Source organism: Homo sapiens, chromosome 4 (assembly GCF_000001405.40).
Source record: "Homo sapiens chromosome 4, GRCh38.p14 Primary Assembly".
NCBI classification, from domain to species: Eukaryota; Metazoa; Chordata; class Mammalia; order Primates; family Hominidae; genus Homo; species Homo sapiens.
The window spans coordinates 132,046,598-132,064,629 of NC_000004.12; the positions used below are offsets into that span (position 1 = coordinate 132,046,598).

Genomic DNA, 18,032 nt, shown 5'->3' on the forward strand with positions numbered 1-18,032 from the left:
ATAAGCTATTTCACGGCACCTAGGCAATCAATGATAATGAGTATTATGTAGATTTATGTGCAACAATGAGCCAGCCAGGCAAGGTTTTGAATACATGAACGTATATTATAATTTCTTATTTCCATTTTTACCACAAACTCTTTGGTAAAGATAAGAACCTCCTCCCTTATTGTAACTCAGTCCTACTTTAATGGCATAAATTACATTGCTTAGACAAAACTCTAAAAAATATAACTACTAACTGTAATATTGAGAATCAAGCTCCATTAGCCAATTTCATAAAAGAGGAATCTATCTAACATTTTCCAGAAGAAAATTATTTTTATTTCCAAGCAAATTATACTAGTTTGTAAATTATGTTGCATTCATGATTGCCCTATCTTTAGCATAATTTGTAGTATTTATATCTTAAAGTTTATGTTTTATGTAGACATTTAGATAAGCTAAAATAATCACAAACAAATATAGCATTTTTCTGATGTTTCATATTATTTAAACATATCCTTTTGGAAATTATTTTTTCCATTAATTTTTTAAGTATTTCTCGCTATAACATATGTGAAGTTTGAAAAATATTCACATTATTTTTTAATTGATTTATACCTGCTAAGGAGACATATGAAATAATTTCTGGTCTTGAAATACATGTATTTTGTGGAAAATTGTTAACTGTAGAGAATTAAAGCTATTTAATGTTGTGTTTCTATGTAATGGCTATGTGATGTTACTAAAAGCAAAGTATCTCTTTTTATGCCAGCTTTATTGACTTTGCAAATGTAATGCACTGATTTTTACTGCCTCATGTGGAAGCACTTAAAGGGCACACTGGGTCATTTACAATACACTTTACAAGAATATATTATTTTAATGATCAAGCAGTTATCCTCCTTTAACAGTATTCTTTCTTACTTTATTTCAAGATTCTTAAGAATTACATTATTAGAATTAGAATAAAGGGACAGTTTATTATACTTTATTTCAAGATTCTTAAGAATTACATTATTAGAATTAGAATAAAGGGACAGTTTATTATAAGAAAAAAACTGAATATTTTCCCTTCAAGAGGCATTAAGTTAAAAAAAATCAAATATACTAGTAAACAAAGAAACTAATTCAAATTTTTATTTTAATGTAATTGCACATTTTTCCCCTATATCATGTAGGTGTCTTTAATATTTTATAAATCTTTGCAAGTGTAATCTCTAGTGCTCTTTCATGAATTGTGGTGAGTTAATATGATCTAATATAAAATAGAATTTATTAATTTTAGCTTCAATACAAGTGGTTTACTTTAGTTCCAACACTTCCATTGTGACCAAAACACTGAAGTATTAATGTATGGCTTTTTAAAACTTCACTTGTTGAAAGCAGGTAGTTTACAACAATGCTAAATGTTAAATTATGTTTTTTAAACAAGAAAAAAAAAATAGTTGAGGTGATGGATATCTCATTTACCCTAAGATGATTATTATCCATTGTATGCCTGTATCAAAAACAGCTCATGTATCACATAAATATATATATCTACTATGTACCCACACAAATTGAAAATTAAAACTTAAAAAAAACAAATTACAAATGTCCTGTATTTCAAAACTTATATAATATAGATTGTAGTTCAAACTTCTTTAGATAGTGTATTCTGCATGTAGCTAAATGCTGTCTACATGGTCTATGCAAAAATATTTTTAAATTTAATGTATAAGAAGACAACTGCATTAACAAGACATTCAATCAAAAACTTTAGTATAAAATAAACGTTGACCTTAAAACTGAGGAAATCTTAGCATTCTGAATTTGCCCAATTATGTGAATTATGAGTGGAAAGTGTGGTTCACATAAATATGCCTTCTACAGAGCCAGCAAACAAAGCCTAATCATAGTAACAAATAGATTTGCTGACCTTAGTGGCCTAATTAACAGCTGACCCTGTGCCTTATTAAGTGTTGTCAGAAAATTAAGGGCTTTTTTTTCCCTAGATAAGTGAAATTGAGGATGATAAATTTTATTCTTACATAATAAAATGTCTAATTTAGTAACATTGCCTTGAATAGGTATAAATTTATTTAATTTCAAAACAAAACCAATTAAATGGAAACTTTGTAAGCGTGCATTTTCCCTCGTTTCTAATACAGTATCCTTTTTCTCTTATTTAATTAATTTCTTATGGTTTCAAATAAAATCCTTCTTTGCTTTCTTTCCCACTAATCAGAGAGCTTGAAATTCAAATGCATTTTGGAAGTACAACGGACAACTCTGCTGGGGCAAACCTTGTGCTTCAGGCTTATTTTTCTGCTCCTCCCAAGAATTTAATTAACTAATTAGCTTACTCAGGTGTAAGCAACAGATGCGTCACATCTGCCCATAATTTGTGACTAGCCGGGAACACTTTCTTACCCCACTTCAGACTGAAGAACTGCACTTGAATTGGCTATTTTGTGCCCACATGTTTCCCAACCCGTATAGAAGCTAATATATTGATCCTTACATTATTTCCTCCCAAGGAAATCAATGTATTGTGCCTCTTTTGATTATGCTGTATGATCAATTATCGTACCTCTCTTTCTCTTTCTGTCTGGCTTCTTAGCTTCCCCCATGTCTACATAATACTTGCATTTAAAGAACAAGTCATTTTTGTTCTAGAGTAGTTTGGCTTTTATAGCCCAGATATTTTCTCCATAGTTATTAGAATATGTGTTGAATGTTTTCTCCTACCACAAAGAAATACCTATTTATTATTTACACTACTTAGTGTCTTAGCAGCAAGCAACAAAATGACTGGCTGATTTTAATTTAGAAAATATCTTATGAAATTTGATTAGCTTAGAGAATTATCCAGAAGATTGGAGGAAACTTTTGGGAAATAAAAAAACAAAAAGAAGGTCACAACGTTAGAAAAGACAAAATACATCAGAAAATATTGTGAGGAAAATTGAATGCGTATATACACACACACAGAGGTCAATAAAAAGCATGTGGTCTGGGAATAATTTCATTGTAGTTAGAATTTCTTCTCCATAAGACACTTTAACATACACTGCTATGTATATTTCATGTTGCAGTGCTAATATATGCAGTTAATATATAGCTAATATATAGAAATACATAATATAATTCACATTTATACACACATGCTTACATACACACACAAAGATATACATCCATGAAACTAAGATCCAGTAGAAAGCAAAAATAATAATTTTCAGTTGTCTTATTTAAATGAATAGGAATATACTGTTCACTGTGATCCACATATACACTTTAAGTACAGATTTATACTGTACTTAATTTTTAAAAATTTTTTAAATTTTTTAAAAATTAAGCTGGTCTCAAACTCTTGATCTCAGGTGATCCACCCACCTCAGCCTCCCAAAGTGCTGGGATTACAATATGTTTTAGAGTCAACTGCATAGTTCATATTAACATCATCTTTTTGTTGAGCTCAAATCTCTTTATTATTTGTAAATTGTATTCTAGCTTTTTAAGTGAAAACTCTAAACCCTTTGTCAGCAACTTCTTCTTTTTTTTTTTTTTTTTTTTGAGATGGAATCTCACTCTGTTGCCCAGGCTGGAGTGCAGTGGCACGATCTCAGCTCACTGCAACCTCTGGCTATCATGTTCAAGCAATTCTCCTGCCCCAGCCTCCCGAGTACCTGGGATTACAGGTGTTCACCACCACGCCTGGCTAATTTTTGTATTTTTATTAGAGTCGAGGCTTCACCATGTTTGCCAGGCTGGTCTCAAACTCTTGATCTCAGGTGATCCACCCGCCTCAGCCTCCCAAAGTGCTGGGATTACAGGCGTGAGCCACCACGCCCAGACGTAAGCAGCTTCTTAAAGATGAAAGGAGCAATAATTAGACCCATTCAAGCTTTATAATGCCACATTTGGACCACTGTAACTAAGGGTCTTCAAGCTTTTCAGTTATGCTTTTGTTAAGTATTTTGTTTGTTATATTTCAAAAATATTGCTTTTCAGTTTTTTAAATTGAGAAAAAATTCAAAATTATTTTTGAGCTGGAATAGTTAAATTTTGTTAAGAATTAAATAATTCTTATTCAAGCACTAAGAATATTCCTCTTTCCTACAGTATCAGCTTAGTTAGTATTTTGTTTGACGGTACTAGAATATAAACAATTTCCACATATTGTACAAAAACTGTATCAACTAAATAACTTGTGAATTTTGCTACACATTTGGGGATTAAATATAAAACATTTATTTATGCAGATATGAAACAATTTAATAATTTGAAAGTAGAAAAATTATCTGTGCTAGTTAATCTTATGTGTCAACTTGACCAGACTAAGCAATACCCAGATAGCTGGTAAACATTATTTCTGTGTGTGTCTGTTAGGGTGTTTCCAGAAGAGATTAACATTCGAATCAGTATACTGAGTAAAGAAGATCTGCCTTCACTAATGTGGACAGGCATCATCCAATTTGTTGAGGGCTTTCATAGAACAAATAAGCAGAGGATGAGCTTTTTCTTTCTCTCTTCTTAAGCTAGAACATGCATCTTCCCCTACCCTTGGATATTGGAGTTTCTGATTCTTGAGCCTTCCACTAAATCACATAAGAATATATACCTATATTTATCCTATTGGTTTTTTTTTCCTCTGGACAATCCTAACCAATACATCATCTGAAAATAATATGATTTTAATTGTGTCATATATTGTGTAGTACAAATATGTATGTTTGTACATATATTTATGTTGTATTCACTTATTTTTGCTTTTAAAATACATATTGAAATTGCATAAATACTGAAAAATATTCAGGAATAGTTTCTTAAAAGAGAGATGCCAAACTTTAATACTAAATTAATACTGACAAGGATAAATAGGGTATATATGAAACAGTAAGAATCTTCCTCAGACTGAGCTCCTCCTCCCTCCACTCTTGTGTTTATATTCCAGCCTGTGTAGTTTTTCCATTCTTTATCCAAACATTTTCTGTTCCTTATGCTTGAGTCTGAGTGGGAAGGCTAGCTGTTTTACTAGTTCAATATACACATTAGCTTATAAAATATATACTTCTCCCTATCTCTTATAAATGAAATGGAGCTATAAACCTGAATTAGGAAAAGATTTAAAGCTTCATCATCTGAGTAGTGCAGACAATTTTGTGATGTGATTTGCAGATTTCTTTTCTGTGTAAGAAAATGTGTGCTGAGATCTTAAGATGCTGATGAAAACCTTCTTCATTGACTTTGTGCATCAAAGCTGAACATTGTTACAGCAGCAATATTATGTAGTTATCAACTATTGCTCTTCAGAAATTTCTATCTTTGAAGCAGTATTTTTTAAGTCTCTAAAAATGTCAGGTTGAGATAACATGTTTAAATGTCTGTTTTCTAATTTAAAAAGTTCTAAGATACGATTTTTAATATATCAATAGTTTCAAGTATGTGTACTGGCTTACCAGACTGTAATTTTATGAAGAACAGCAACCAGTCTTAAATAATTTTTCTCCATTACAGATTGCTCACTGTAATAATTCAAATGCATACAAATCAATATATAATTAATTAGGTTTTAAATATTTCCAAATGTAACTAAACTAAAAGAATGAATTTTTGAAATTAGTGAAACATTTTTTGTGTGAAAAACTGACTAAATTTTTGCTTTCCCAAAACTGATTACAGTATTTGTAGTTATACCTTAGATATTTATCTTTGTGATGCGTCAGCTTTTGTAAAGCTAAATGTACTTAATACATATAAAACTTAATAAAAATTACTGTTTTGTTCACTAACATTTTATAACTAATTTATATAAAGTAGAGCAACATAAAATTTTTATTTTACATAATCCAATTTTAAAGATAAATTTACACTTTTATTCTGAGCACAGTTTTGAAAATAATCATATATTAATAATATGATTAATATGTTATTGATATGTTTTAATAATGTCTGCAAAGTAAAACTGTTTTACTTTCCTGTTTTACTATCAAATTTTATTTGACAGAGCATCTTTTAAATAATCTTTTTTACTATGCATTAAAGTGTGAATGTTGTGACATAATTCTAACACTTTTGGACATTAATACAAAAAGAAAACCATAACTGAAAGTATGCAATGATAAACACAAACAGACACATACACACCCCTCAACAACAAAATTGAGGATGCTGAGAACTTACTGTATGTATTTCTTTCTGAGATACTAATAGTCTAATTGTAAAGATTAAAAATATACTTTAAAAAGACTTACAATAAATGTTATATTTTTTCATGAACTTTGATCTATTTACTGATAGTAATATTCTTAAAAATTATAATTCTGGGCATAGAGCATAGACTTGCTAATTCTAAGCAGAAAACCAGCAATAAAACAAAATATGAAAGTCTGAAATTACCACTCCCCCATTGTTCCTTGCATTGTTTTAAGTAAACAGTTATTTAATTTCCATAAAAAAAGTTGATATCTTCCAGGAAGCTAAAGTAGAAATCAGAAAATAAAATAATCCTGTATGCTACAATAAATATTACAATTATTAAGAGTTTTTTTGTGCCAAAGCCATTTGTTTAGTGTAAATATATATGCAAATATATCTATGTAGGTCTTCAGTAATAATAATAAATAAATATTACCAATGGTAAATGAACATTGATTATGATCCTTTCTACCTAAAGATTACATATGGACAAACTGTATCATCATACAATTTTTTGTTATTTTTAAAAGATTTTGTTTTGTTATCTTTTGTTAAAAGATAATGGTATCTGTGCAAAATTACAATTTTATTGTTTACAGGTAAGATAGCTTAATGTTCAGAAGATTAAATAATTATAAATCTGTGACAATTCCACTAAATGAAATGAAGTCATCATTAAAATACCACAGGCTTCTGATGCCACAAAATTTGAATTCATAGATTCAATTCCTCTGCATTGGACATACTCTCATTTTATAGAAAAGTTAATTCTTTCTGCCAGGACCATTGGGATAACTCAAAATTTCACTGACTTTGCATTACCTGTATATAACCCTAAGGAGTTTTTCCAGAGTGTTCTCTTTTCTTAAAACTGAGACAAGCATATTTGTATTACAAATCACACAACACAAAACGTACAATAACATACCTCAATATTTTATTAAAAATATTAAATTTCCCATCGGCACCTGAGTTACAGTAAGTCTTTTGTGGCTGGGTAATTCCCTTTGCTTATTTAAAGAATACAAGTGCGGAATTTGAAAATATTCCAATGGAAGAAGCATAAAAAGTTTGTTTTAGTAAGTATTAAAATAATAACTATTCAACCAAAGATTTCAGGATGAAATAAATCCTCCTTTAGATAAAAATATATATTTCTTTATGATCTCATAAACTGATATATTGTGTAGGAAGAGGGAAAAGAGAAATAACTTTTCTCTTAATAGGAAAATTGAAAATTGTTTTAAAGAAAACATCCTATAACCTTTAATATTAATCTACTTTACCTATTTTTCCAAAAGTTCAGATAAAAAAAACTATTTCATTATGTATTAATGAATTTAACATTTATTGTGTCAGCAGATATGAATTCTTAGGAGTTTTTTAGGTAAAGGAAACAGCCAATTAAATCAGCAATTTCTGCTTTTTAGAAATTTCATCCAGAGAAAATAGAATATTGTTAATGAATAAATATGTAACATAATGTCAATTTTTAATAGGTTTGATGAAGAAAAACATTCACTAAGTGGATTGAGTGCTGGTTTAGACAGAAAAAGAGTTATCTGACCTAATTGAATCAAACACAGGATCAAGCCATGTACCTCTGGCATATTCCAGGAAGCTGGGACCTACGAGGCATTTCAAGATTCCTGGGCATCATATTTGCCTGGAGAATTTAAAGGCCAATGTGTCAGGGGATAATGAGTGGAAGAGCGGTAATACACCAAATTAGAGAGGCAGCCAAAGGACAGGTCTTGCAGCAACTTCCAGGCCAAAAACAACAACAACAAAAAATAGAGTTTCAGTCAAAGTGGAAGAAAAAGACATTTAAAAAATGAAAGCAGATAAGTGACACTATAATTAAGGAAAAAAATATTTTCTTTATTCTATGAATATATGATTTGGAGGTCAGATGGGAAAATAGGCAAAAGTAGAAGCAAGGAATCATGGATAATTATTTTGGTAGCCCAGGTGGGAGATCTTAGTTTGGGTGGGGATTATTAACTGCGTTTAGAATGAGGTTATAGCTGTAAGATACATCTTTAAAATAATTTTTAAATGATGGAGCATGAGTTTGAGAAGGAGAGAGGATCAACAGGTGATGACTGGAAAATAAGAGTATACTATGCTTTTGAAAGTTTCCCTAAAATATTTTTAAGACAGTAATTCTCAAGACATAAGTGTGGGGGAAGAAGCATGTTCTGGTTTGAGTGAGTCACACATAATGAAGAATTATCTTTTGCCTTGGATAAATTACTAGAGCCAAAAATTTAACTCTATCTCTGGATCAAAATGTATTTTTAAGCAGTTTAAATATTTACTGGAAATTCCAGGGTTATAACTAACATGCAAATTATTTTAAAAATATTTAATAATAATTGTTCACTATTTTGGAAAAAGCATACCATCGAAAACAATACTACTTACGGCCAATTAGGGTCGCAGATACAATAGATGTGTATCAGTCTGTATTTGAATGCATGCTTACAAAAATGTACTAGAAGGTTTGAAACTACAACAGATTCAAAACTAAATATTATAATATTTGACACACAAAATGAAGATCTTCTTGAATTTTCCAAAAGAGGTTATATTTTATAATATATGTCATTTCACATAATTTACAATTTTAGTAATGTCAAATATGTTCTAAAGTTATATATTGAAATTATTTAATTTTTTATTATCGTGATAAATAAATCTTTGCCTTCCCCAATGGAAGATACTTTCCAATATCTTCCTCTCAAAACATCACCATTTTTTCTAATACATTCAGAACTGTTTTACTAGATTTGACTTTTACCATTTGCCACCTATGTTTACTTTCTAAACTGGTTTCTTTATTCTCTGTCCTTCCATTTGTATATTTTCTATTATCTACCTTCAATTTCAATAATTTAATATTTATTCTCTAATATTCCATTTACTGAATTTTGATCTTCAAATATGTATTTTTTTACATCTAGAACTTTTGATACTTTCAACACATTCTTATACTCAATGATTTTCTCCCTACTTTTATCTGGTTTTGTAAGTGATATCAATTTTTATAATATATTAATTGCATTTTAAAGTATTTGGTGCTGACTTACATAATTGGATCATGTGCAGATCTATTTTCAGGTTTTTTTTTTTAAGTCCTGTTAGTTTATCATTATATGACCCTGTTTGTTGGCATGTTGAGTGATTCTTTTGTTTTCCATTTGTTTTTTGTTTGTTTGTTTGTTTGTTTTTTGTCTTAGAGACAGAGTCTCAGTCTGTCACCCAGGCTGCAGTGCATTGGCACAATCATAGCATACTGTAGTCTCAACTTCTAGGGGCTCATGTGATCCTCCCAACCTGGTCTCCTTAGTAGCTGGGACTACTGGCGCAATCCACCATATCCAGCTAATTTTTGTACTTCTTGTAGAGTCAGGGATGGAGGGTGCTGGGGGTGAGGGGCGTGGGTCTCGATATATTGCTCAGACTAGTCTTGAACTCCCTGACCTCAAGCAGTTCTGCTGCTTCAGTCATCCAAAGTGCTGGGATTACAGGCATGAGCCACCACACCTAACCATGTTGAGCAATTTTTATTTTTATTTTGTGTCAGTCTGTTTTTGTTTTGTTTTGTTTCTATAAATCTATAGGTTTCAGGTGAAATGATCCTCCTCCAGAGATGCTTCTTTATATTCTTTACTAAAGAGAAATATTCGTGAGCTCATTTCCTTAAGCTAATTAGTCACAGAAATGAGGGAAGTCTGGATTAATCTCAGCCTTCCAGCTGAAATCCTAGTGTATTAACATGGGCCAGTCTTCTGGAGATGTACTGAATTCTAATCTTTATCTCTTAAGTGCTGCAAGACTGCCAAAATTCTACTCAGCTTAGCTTTTAGACATCTATGCTGCACAGAATTCAGAATTCAGAATGTTTTGAATATAAAGTACTTTAACTCTGCAGGACTTCAAAAATTTCTTTTTTCTGTGCTGCTACAGGAGTGAGTCACTGCCTAGATAAAGTCCAAAATCTTAGCCTCTTGTGAACACCCAAAATTGAAAAAGCAAAGCAAGCAGCGACCATCAGGTTGCAGATAATTAGCTCACCACTCTAATGTTCTTCCTTATTCAGCATCCTAAACCTTTTCACTTTTTACTTTTATGATTTTGCTGTTTCTAATGCCCATAAGCAATTTATATATTTATATTGGTATTGCGTATTTTATCTGTTTTTTTTTTTGTTTTTCTTTTTTTTTTTTTTTTTTTTTTTTTGCTTTTTTGGATGTTTTGATTGTTTGTTTAAGCATTTTTTTGGTCAGAGGTACAATGATATGGTTTGGCTCTGTGTGCCCACCAAAGTATCATTGTTGAATTATAATCCCCAATGCTGGGGAAGAAACCTGGTGGGAGGTGATTGGATCACGGGGGCGGATTTCTCCCTTGCTGTTTTGCTGATAGAGTTTGCATGAGATCTGACTGTTTAAAATTGTATAGCACTTTCCCCTTCACTCTCTCTCTCCTGGTCTACCATGGTAAGATGTGCTTGCTTCCCCTTTGCCCTTCCTCCATGATTGTAAGTTTCCTGAGGCCTCCCCAACCATGCTTCCTCTACAGCCTGTGGAACTGTGAGTCAGTTAAACCACTTTTCTTAATAAATTACTTAGTCATAAGTAGTTATTTATAGCAATGTGAGAATAGATTAATAGAGAAAATTGGTACCAGAGAAGAGGGGCATTACTATGAAGATATCTTAAGATATGGAAGCAGCTTTGGAACTGGCTAACAGACAGAAGTTGGAATAGTTTTGAGGGCTCAGAAGAAGACAGAAAGATAAGGAAAAGTTTGGAACTTCCTAGAGACTTAATTGTTTTAACCAAAATGCTGATAGTGATATGGACAGTGAAATTCAGGCTGAGGTGGTCTCAGATGGAGATGAGGAACTTATTGGAAACTTGAGTAATGTTTTTTCAAAGAGACTGGTGGCATCATGCCCCTGCCCTAGAGATCTGTGGAACTTTGAACTTGAAAGAAATGATTTATGGTGTCTGGTGAAAGAAATTTCTAAGCAGCAAAACATTCAAGAAGTGACCTGGCTTCTTCTAAGAGCACATACTTATATGTATGAACAAAAAGATTATCTGAAACTGGAACTTATATTTAAAAGGGAATCAGAGCACAAAAGTTTGGAAAATTTACAACCTGACCATGTGGTAAAAAATAAAAACCCATTTACTGGGGAGAAATTCAAGCCAGCTGCACACATTTGCATAAGTAAAGAGGAACTGAATGTTAATGGACAAGACAATGGGGTAAAGGCCTCCAATATATTTCAGAGACCTTTGTAGCAGTCCCTCCCATCACAGGCCCAGAGGCCTAGTGGGGAAAAATAGTTCCATGGGCCAGGCCCAGGGCCCCACTGGTGCAGCCTTGGGACATTGTGCTCTGCATCTCAGTGCTCCAGCTGTAGCCATGGCTAAAAGGAGCCAAGGTGCAGCTGGGGCTGTTGCTTCAGAGGGTGCAAGCCCTAAGCCTTGGCAACTTCCATGTGATGTTGGGCCTGCAAGTGTGCAGAAGAGTTGAGGTTTGGGAGCCTCTGCCTAGATTTTAGAAGATGTATGGAAATACCTGAATGTCCAGGCAGAAGTCTACTGCAGGGGCAGAGCCCTCATAGAGAAGCTCAACTAGCAAAGTGCAAAGGGGAAATGTGGGGTTGCAGCCCCCACACAGAGTCCCCACTGGGGCACTGCCTAGTGGTCATGCAAGAAGAGGTCCACCACCCTCCAGACCTGAGAATGGTAGATACACTGACAGCTTTCTTGCAGACACTCAATGCCAACCCATGAAAGCAGCTGCAGGGGCTGTACCCTGCAGAGCCACAGAGGCTGAGCTCTCCAAGGCCTTGGGAGCCCACCTCTTGTATCAGTGTGTCCTGGATGTGAAACATGGAGTCAAAGGAGATTATTTTGAAGCTTTAAGATTTAATGACTTCCCTGCTGGGTTTCAGACTTGCATGGGGCCTGTAGCCCCTTTGTTTTGTATTATTTCTGCATTTGGAATGGGAGCATTTGCCCAATGCTGTACCTCCATTGCATCTTGTAAGTAATTAATTTGCTTTTTTATTTTACAGACTCATAGACGGAAGATACTTGACTTTTCTCAGATGAGACTTTGGACTGTGAATTAATGCTGAAATGTGTTAACACTCTAGGGGACTTTTGGGAAGGCATGATTGATTTTGAAAATTGAGAAGGACATGAGATTTGGGAAAGGCCAGGGGCAAAACAGTGTGATTTGGCTCTGTGTTCCCACCCAAATCTCATGTTGAATTGTAATCCCCAGTGTTGAGGAGAAACCTGGTGGGAAGTAATTGGATCATGGGTGTAGATTTCCCTCTTGCTGCTCTGTGATGGAGTTCTCACATGATCTGGTTGTTTAAATGTGCGTAGCATTTCCCCCTTCACTATCTCTCTCCTGGTCCACCAGGGTAATGTGTCCTTGTTTCCTCTTTGCCCTTCTGCCATGATTATAAGTTTTCTGAGGGCTCCCCAACCATGCTTCCTGTACAGCCTGTGCAACTGTGAATGAATTAAACCTGTTGTCTTCATAAAGTATCCAGTCTCAGGTAGTTCTTTATAGCAGTGTAAAAATGAATTAATACAGGCCCTCTCCTGGCAGGGAAGAATTAAACATGCCCAGGCGTAGTTCTTCAAGTTACAACATAAATTTGCTACATTACAAGAATGTATTTCTCAGTAGACCAAAATTTGTCATGAAAACATATAAATATTGCACTGTATTTTATGAAATGACTCTTCAATTTAAACATAAAGAGGGATACTTAGCCAAAATTTTGTGTAAAATTAACATTCCAGGAAAGTGAACTTTTTTTGTTCTACCTATCTCTACTCACCAAACCATTGACCAGTAACTAGAATATACACTATTTTAAAGAGCCCAAAATGTTAATAGACATTGAACATAATTTAATATGTATAAAAATGGGGTAAACATTTGTATTTTAAATATACTAAGATGGTAAAATAATAAAGTAAAATTCTGACTAGAAAATCCCAAGCAGATATCTCATCTGTGATCAAAACAGGTTTTACCCATTTTTCCTAGGAAACAAATCTGTCCTTTTTTCTTTTTCTTTTAGTTATTTTGCTCAAAAAATAATTACATGTTTAATTACATATTATAATTTTTTCAGTGAAAGGGAATATTAATAGATAATGTATAGTTGGAGTAAATTATAAGATAAATACATTAATTGTACCATAATAAACATATATCAGAGAGACAGTTTAATTTAAGGTCTGCAACTTTAGTTGATACTAACCTTTAGCTTCTATATGTGTCAAATGTATCATTTTACAAACACTCATAATAAATACTGTGCTTCAAAAAGACGTTTCTCACTATCTTTTGGAATGCAAAATGAAAAGTAGAATTGATTTTTTAAATGACATAACTATCATATAATGGAATTACTATTATCAGAATCATAAAAACACTCTCCCTCTCTCTCTCTCTTTCTAATGGCTCTCCAAAGATGTTTATCTCCTAATTCTTAGAACCTTAGAATAAATTAGGTTAAGATGGCAAAAAAAAAGATGTTGTTACTGAAGGAATTAAAATTGCTAATCAGTAGATCTTAAAATATGATTATTTTGGGTTACCTGTGTAGGCCCATTTTCATCACAAATGTCTTTACATGTTCAAGAGGGAGGCAGAAGAAGTCAGAAGCAGATGTGTCTATGGAAAAAAGACACAGAAAAATGCATCATTGCTGCCTTTGAAGAGGGAAGAAGGCAATCATAAGCCAAAAAAATCTGGACGGCCTCTAGAAGCTGAAAAAAAAAAAAAAAAAACAAGGAAAGGAATTCTCCCCTGGAGCCTCCAGAATGGTTATAGCCCTTCTGACATCTTGATATTAGTCCAATGAGGCTCATGTTGCGCTTCTAACCTACAAAACTATAAGGTTAAAAAAAGTATGGTATTTTAAGGCACCAATTTTGTGGAAATTTATAGTAGGAGCAATAGAAAAGGAATACATTATAAAATACCAGCGTAATCATTAAAACATCTCTATTGTTCACCCTTGTAAAAAGATTTGTACAAAAAGTTGCTTTGTTTCTTAAACTAATTTATGTAAACGTTCTTTCTGTCAGAAAAAGTAATTTTGAATTTGTATATACATAGAGGAGTATAAATGATATAAAAATATGTAAATAATAGTATTACTAATATTTATTAAGTCATTGATATATGTTACACTGTTTATTTAAAGTTAATTATTATCTAATGTAAACCTCACAACAACTCTCTGAAAAGGATACTCTTTTTATCTCTATTTTATAGGTAAGGAAATAGAGTCTGAGAAGAGATAAACTGCCCAAGTGACTTGTCCAGTGTCACAGAATTGCCAATTACAGAGTCACTACTGGAAGCTAATGTATACTAGCCTGTACATTCTTGGGTCTATACTAGAAGTTACAAGTAAGTCATAACCACTTTTTAGAGTCAGAATTGAATATTTTTAGAATATGAAATGACTCTACAAATGTTAACGTGTGGAACTCATAAAATTTTCTTTTGTGGAAGAATCCTGATAAATTATATTTGAGAGCCATTGTTGAATATCTACTCTTTCTAAAAACTCAGTCAGGCTTGGTGGCTCATGCCTGTAATTCCAGCAGTTTGGGAGGCCAAGGCCGGTGGATCACAAGGTCAGGAGATCGAGACCACCCCGGCTAACACGGTGAAACCCTGTCTCTACTAAAAATACAAAAAATAAGCCAGGCATGGTGGCAGGTCAGGAGGCTGAGGCAGGAGAATGGCGTGAACACAGGAGACGGAGCTTGCAGTGAGCCGAGATTGCATCACTGCACTCCAACCTGGGCAACAGAGCGAGACTCCACAAAAAAAAAAAAAAAAAAAAAAAAAAAACTCTTCTGCAATGTTGTAATAGCTCCTTCTAAGAAGCCCAACTCTTCAATTTTATTGGTTATTCAGAGGAAGAAAAATCAGAATTGGAAACAAGTCTGAAGGACAGTGTACTATTCTGTTCTTGTATTGCTATAAATAAATACCTAAGACTGGGTAATTAATAAAAGAGATTTAATTGGCTCACAGTTCTGCAGGCTGTACAAGAGCATGATGCTAGTATGTCCAGAATTGGTGGGTTCCTGGTCTCACTAACTTCAAGAATGAAGCCGCGGACCCTCGTGGTGAGTGTTACAGTTCTTGAAGATGATGTGTCCGGAGTTTGTTCCTTCTGATGTTCAGACATGTTCAGAGTTTCTTCCTTCTGCTGGGTTCATGGTTTTGCTGGCTTCAGGAGTGAAGCTGCAGACCTTCACAGCGACTGTTACAGCTCATACAGGCAGTGCGGACCCAAAGAGTGAGCAACAGCAAGATTTACTGCAAAGAGCAAAAGAACAAAGCTCCCACAGTGTGGAAAGGGACCCGAGTGGGTTACCACTGCTGGCTCGGGCAGCCTGCTTTTATTCCCTTATCTGACCCCACCCACATCCTGCCGATTGGCCCATTTTACAGAGAGCTGATTGGTCCGTTTTGACAGGGTGCTGACTGGTGCATTTACAATCCCTCAGCTAGACACAGAGTGTTGATTGGTGTATTTACAATCCTCTAGCTAGAGGTAAAAGTTCTCCAAGTCCCCACCAGATTAGCTAGACACAGAGCACTGATTGGTGCATTTACAAACCTTGAGCTAGACACAGAGTACTGATTGGTGCATTTACAATCCTCTAGCTAGATGTAAAAGTTCTCCAAGTCCCCACAAGATTAGCTAGATACAGAGTGCTGACTGGTGCATCCACGAACCCCAGGCTAGACCCAGAGTGCTGATTGGTGCATATACAATCCTCCAACTAGGCATATAAGTTCTCCAAGTCCCCACCCAACTCAGGAGCCCAGCTGGTTTCGCCTAGTCGATCCCATGCCAGGGTCGTGGCCAGAGCTGCCTGCCGGCGGAGCTGCCAGCCAGTCTCGCGCCGCGCACCTGCACTCCTCAGCCCTCGGGTGGTTGATGGGACTGGTCCCACGGAGCAGGAGGTGGCAACCCTTGGGGAGGCTCAGGCCATGCAGGAGCCTCCCGCGGGTGTGGGGGTCTCAGGTATGGCAGGCTGCAGGTCCTGAGCCCTGCCCCATGGGGAGGCGGCTGAGGCCTGGGAAGAATTCGAGTGTGGCGTGGGCAGGCCAGCAGTGCTGGGGGACCCAGCGCCCCCTCCACAGCTACCGGCCCTGTGCTAAGTCCCTCACTGCCTGGGGCCAGCGGCATTGGCCGCCACTCAGAGTGCCCGGCCCGCCGGGAGCTCACATTCCACACTCAGCTCCACGCCAGCCAGCCCAGAGAGGGGCTCCTACAGTGCAGCGGCGGGCTGAAGGGCTTCTCAAGCGTGGCCAGAGTGGACGCCGAGGCCGAGGAGGCTCTGAGAGCCAGGGAGGGATGCTAGCACGTTGTCACCTCTCACTGGCATCTGCTCAGGTTCGGAGGAGGCCTCGAGAAGGCAGAAATCAATCATGGCAGAAGGCAAAGGAGGAGCTGGGCATCTCTCATGATGGGAGAAGAAACAAGAGAAAGGGGAAAGCTGTTATACACTTTTAAATGACCAGATCTCACAAGAACTCACTGACTATCATGAGAACAGTACCATGTGGTTGATGCTAAACTATTCATGAGAAACTACTCACCTGATCCAGTCACCTCCTACCAGGTCCCACCTCCAACACTGGAGATTACAATTTGACATGAGATTTGGTGGAGACACAGATCTCGACTATAACAGACAGGTGTTTCTCATTATAGCTAAAAAGTATCTTTTTTTTTTTTTTTTGGTAGGTTATTGGGGTTGGTGGCTCAATTTTTAGATATACCAATATCAAGTTTATATCTTCTCAAATAGGCTGCCAGTTGAGTTTTTAATCAACAAAAACAAATGGTGTTTCTCATTATTTTACTTGTTCTTTCACCTGAACACTGCAAGAGCCTCTTAACTGGCCTCCCTCCTTACCTCCTCACTGATAATCCCCTCCACACACAAACACCTCAGACCCTCTCACAGGTTGTCACAGAAGTTTTCTTAAAATGTAAATTAAATCAAGTAATGGACTTCCTTAAAAGCTTCTCCTCGTGACTTCCTTGTGTAATTTGAGCACAAATGTAACATGCCTTTCTGAGGCTATATAAACTGGTCCACAGCAGTCTTCCTGAGCTCTTCACAAACCATTATCTCCCTCCCTGGCTATGTTCCAGCCCAAATACACCCCATTAGCTTGATTTTCCTTGTTTCTTTTCTGGCCAGTGTGTGGCTCTTATCTCTTCCTGCAAAGTGGTTTCCTGAATCTCCCTTACATTCCCTTTTATTCTATTTATGCTCATTACACAATGTATTGAGAAGTGACATTATTTTCTTTATTTTCCTTCTCCTCTAATTTGAGTATTAGAATGATTTTTATTAACCACAACAATAGGTTTGTCTAACATGTGTTTAAAAAAATATTTGTCAAATTAATGATTACTCCCTCTTGATTCATTTCAGTGGCCTAGGGGAGCAATGCCTCAAGCTCTTTCTTAAGAGATGCACATTAAACACAAGTTATTTACTCGAAAACTTGTACCTATATAAATAAAACAAAACAAAGAAACACATTCATAGCTAGATCTAATCTATATTCTTCATATTTTCATTCAGTCTTATTAATTTAGTGTTATGAACTATGCTCTTAGAAAATACAATAATAGTTGAATGACATGATTATACATTGCGTATAAATATATTATGCTATCATGCAAAAAATGCACATTATCATTTAAATATCCATGAAAGGAATAGACAAATAAGTATTGCCCTAGCATTATTTTCATGTCT

The 18,032-nt window shown here is 35.0% G+C and overlaps 1 long non-coding RNA gene across 1 annotated transcript in view; it reads right to left on the reverse strand.

The window, feature by feature from the left end:
• Nucleotides 1–13,893, reverse strand: part of LOC105377428 (uncharacterized) — a 34,489-nt gene extending 20,596 nt beyond the window's left edge. The window contains exon 1 of the long non-coding RNA XR_939203.4: nucleotides 13,818–13,893. This is a non-coding gene — a long non-coding RNA (uncharacterized LOC105377428). The remainder of the gene's footprint in view (nucleotides 1–13,817) is intronic.
• Nucleotides 13,894–18,032: the final 4,139 nt, after the last annotated feature.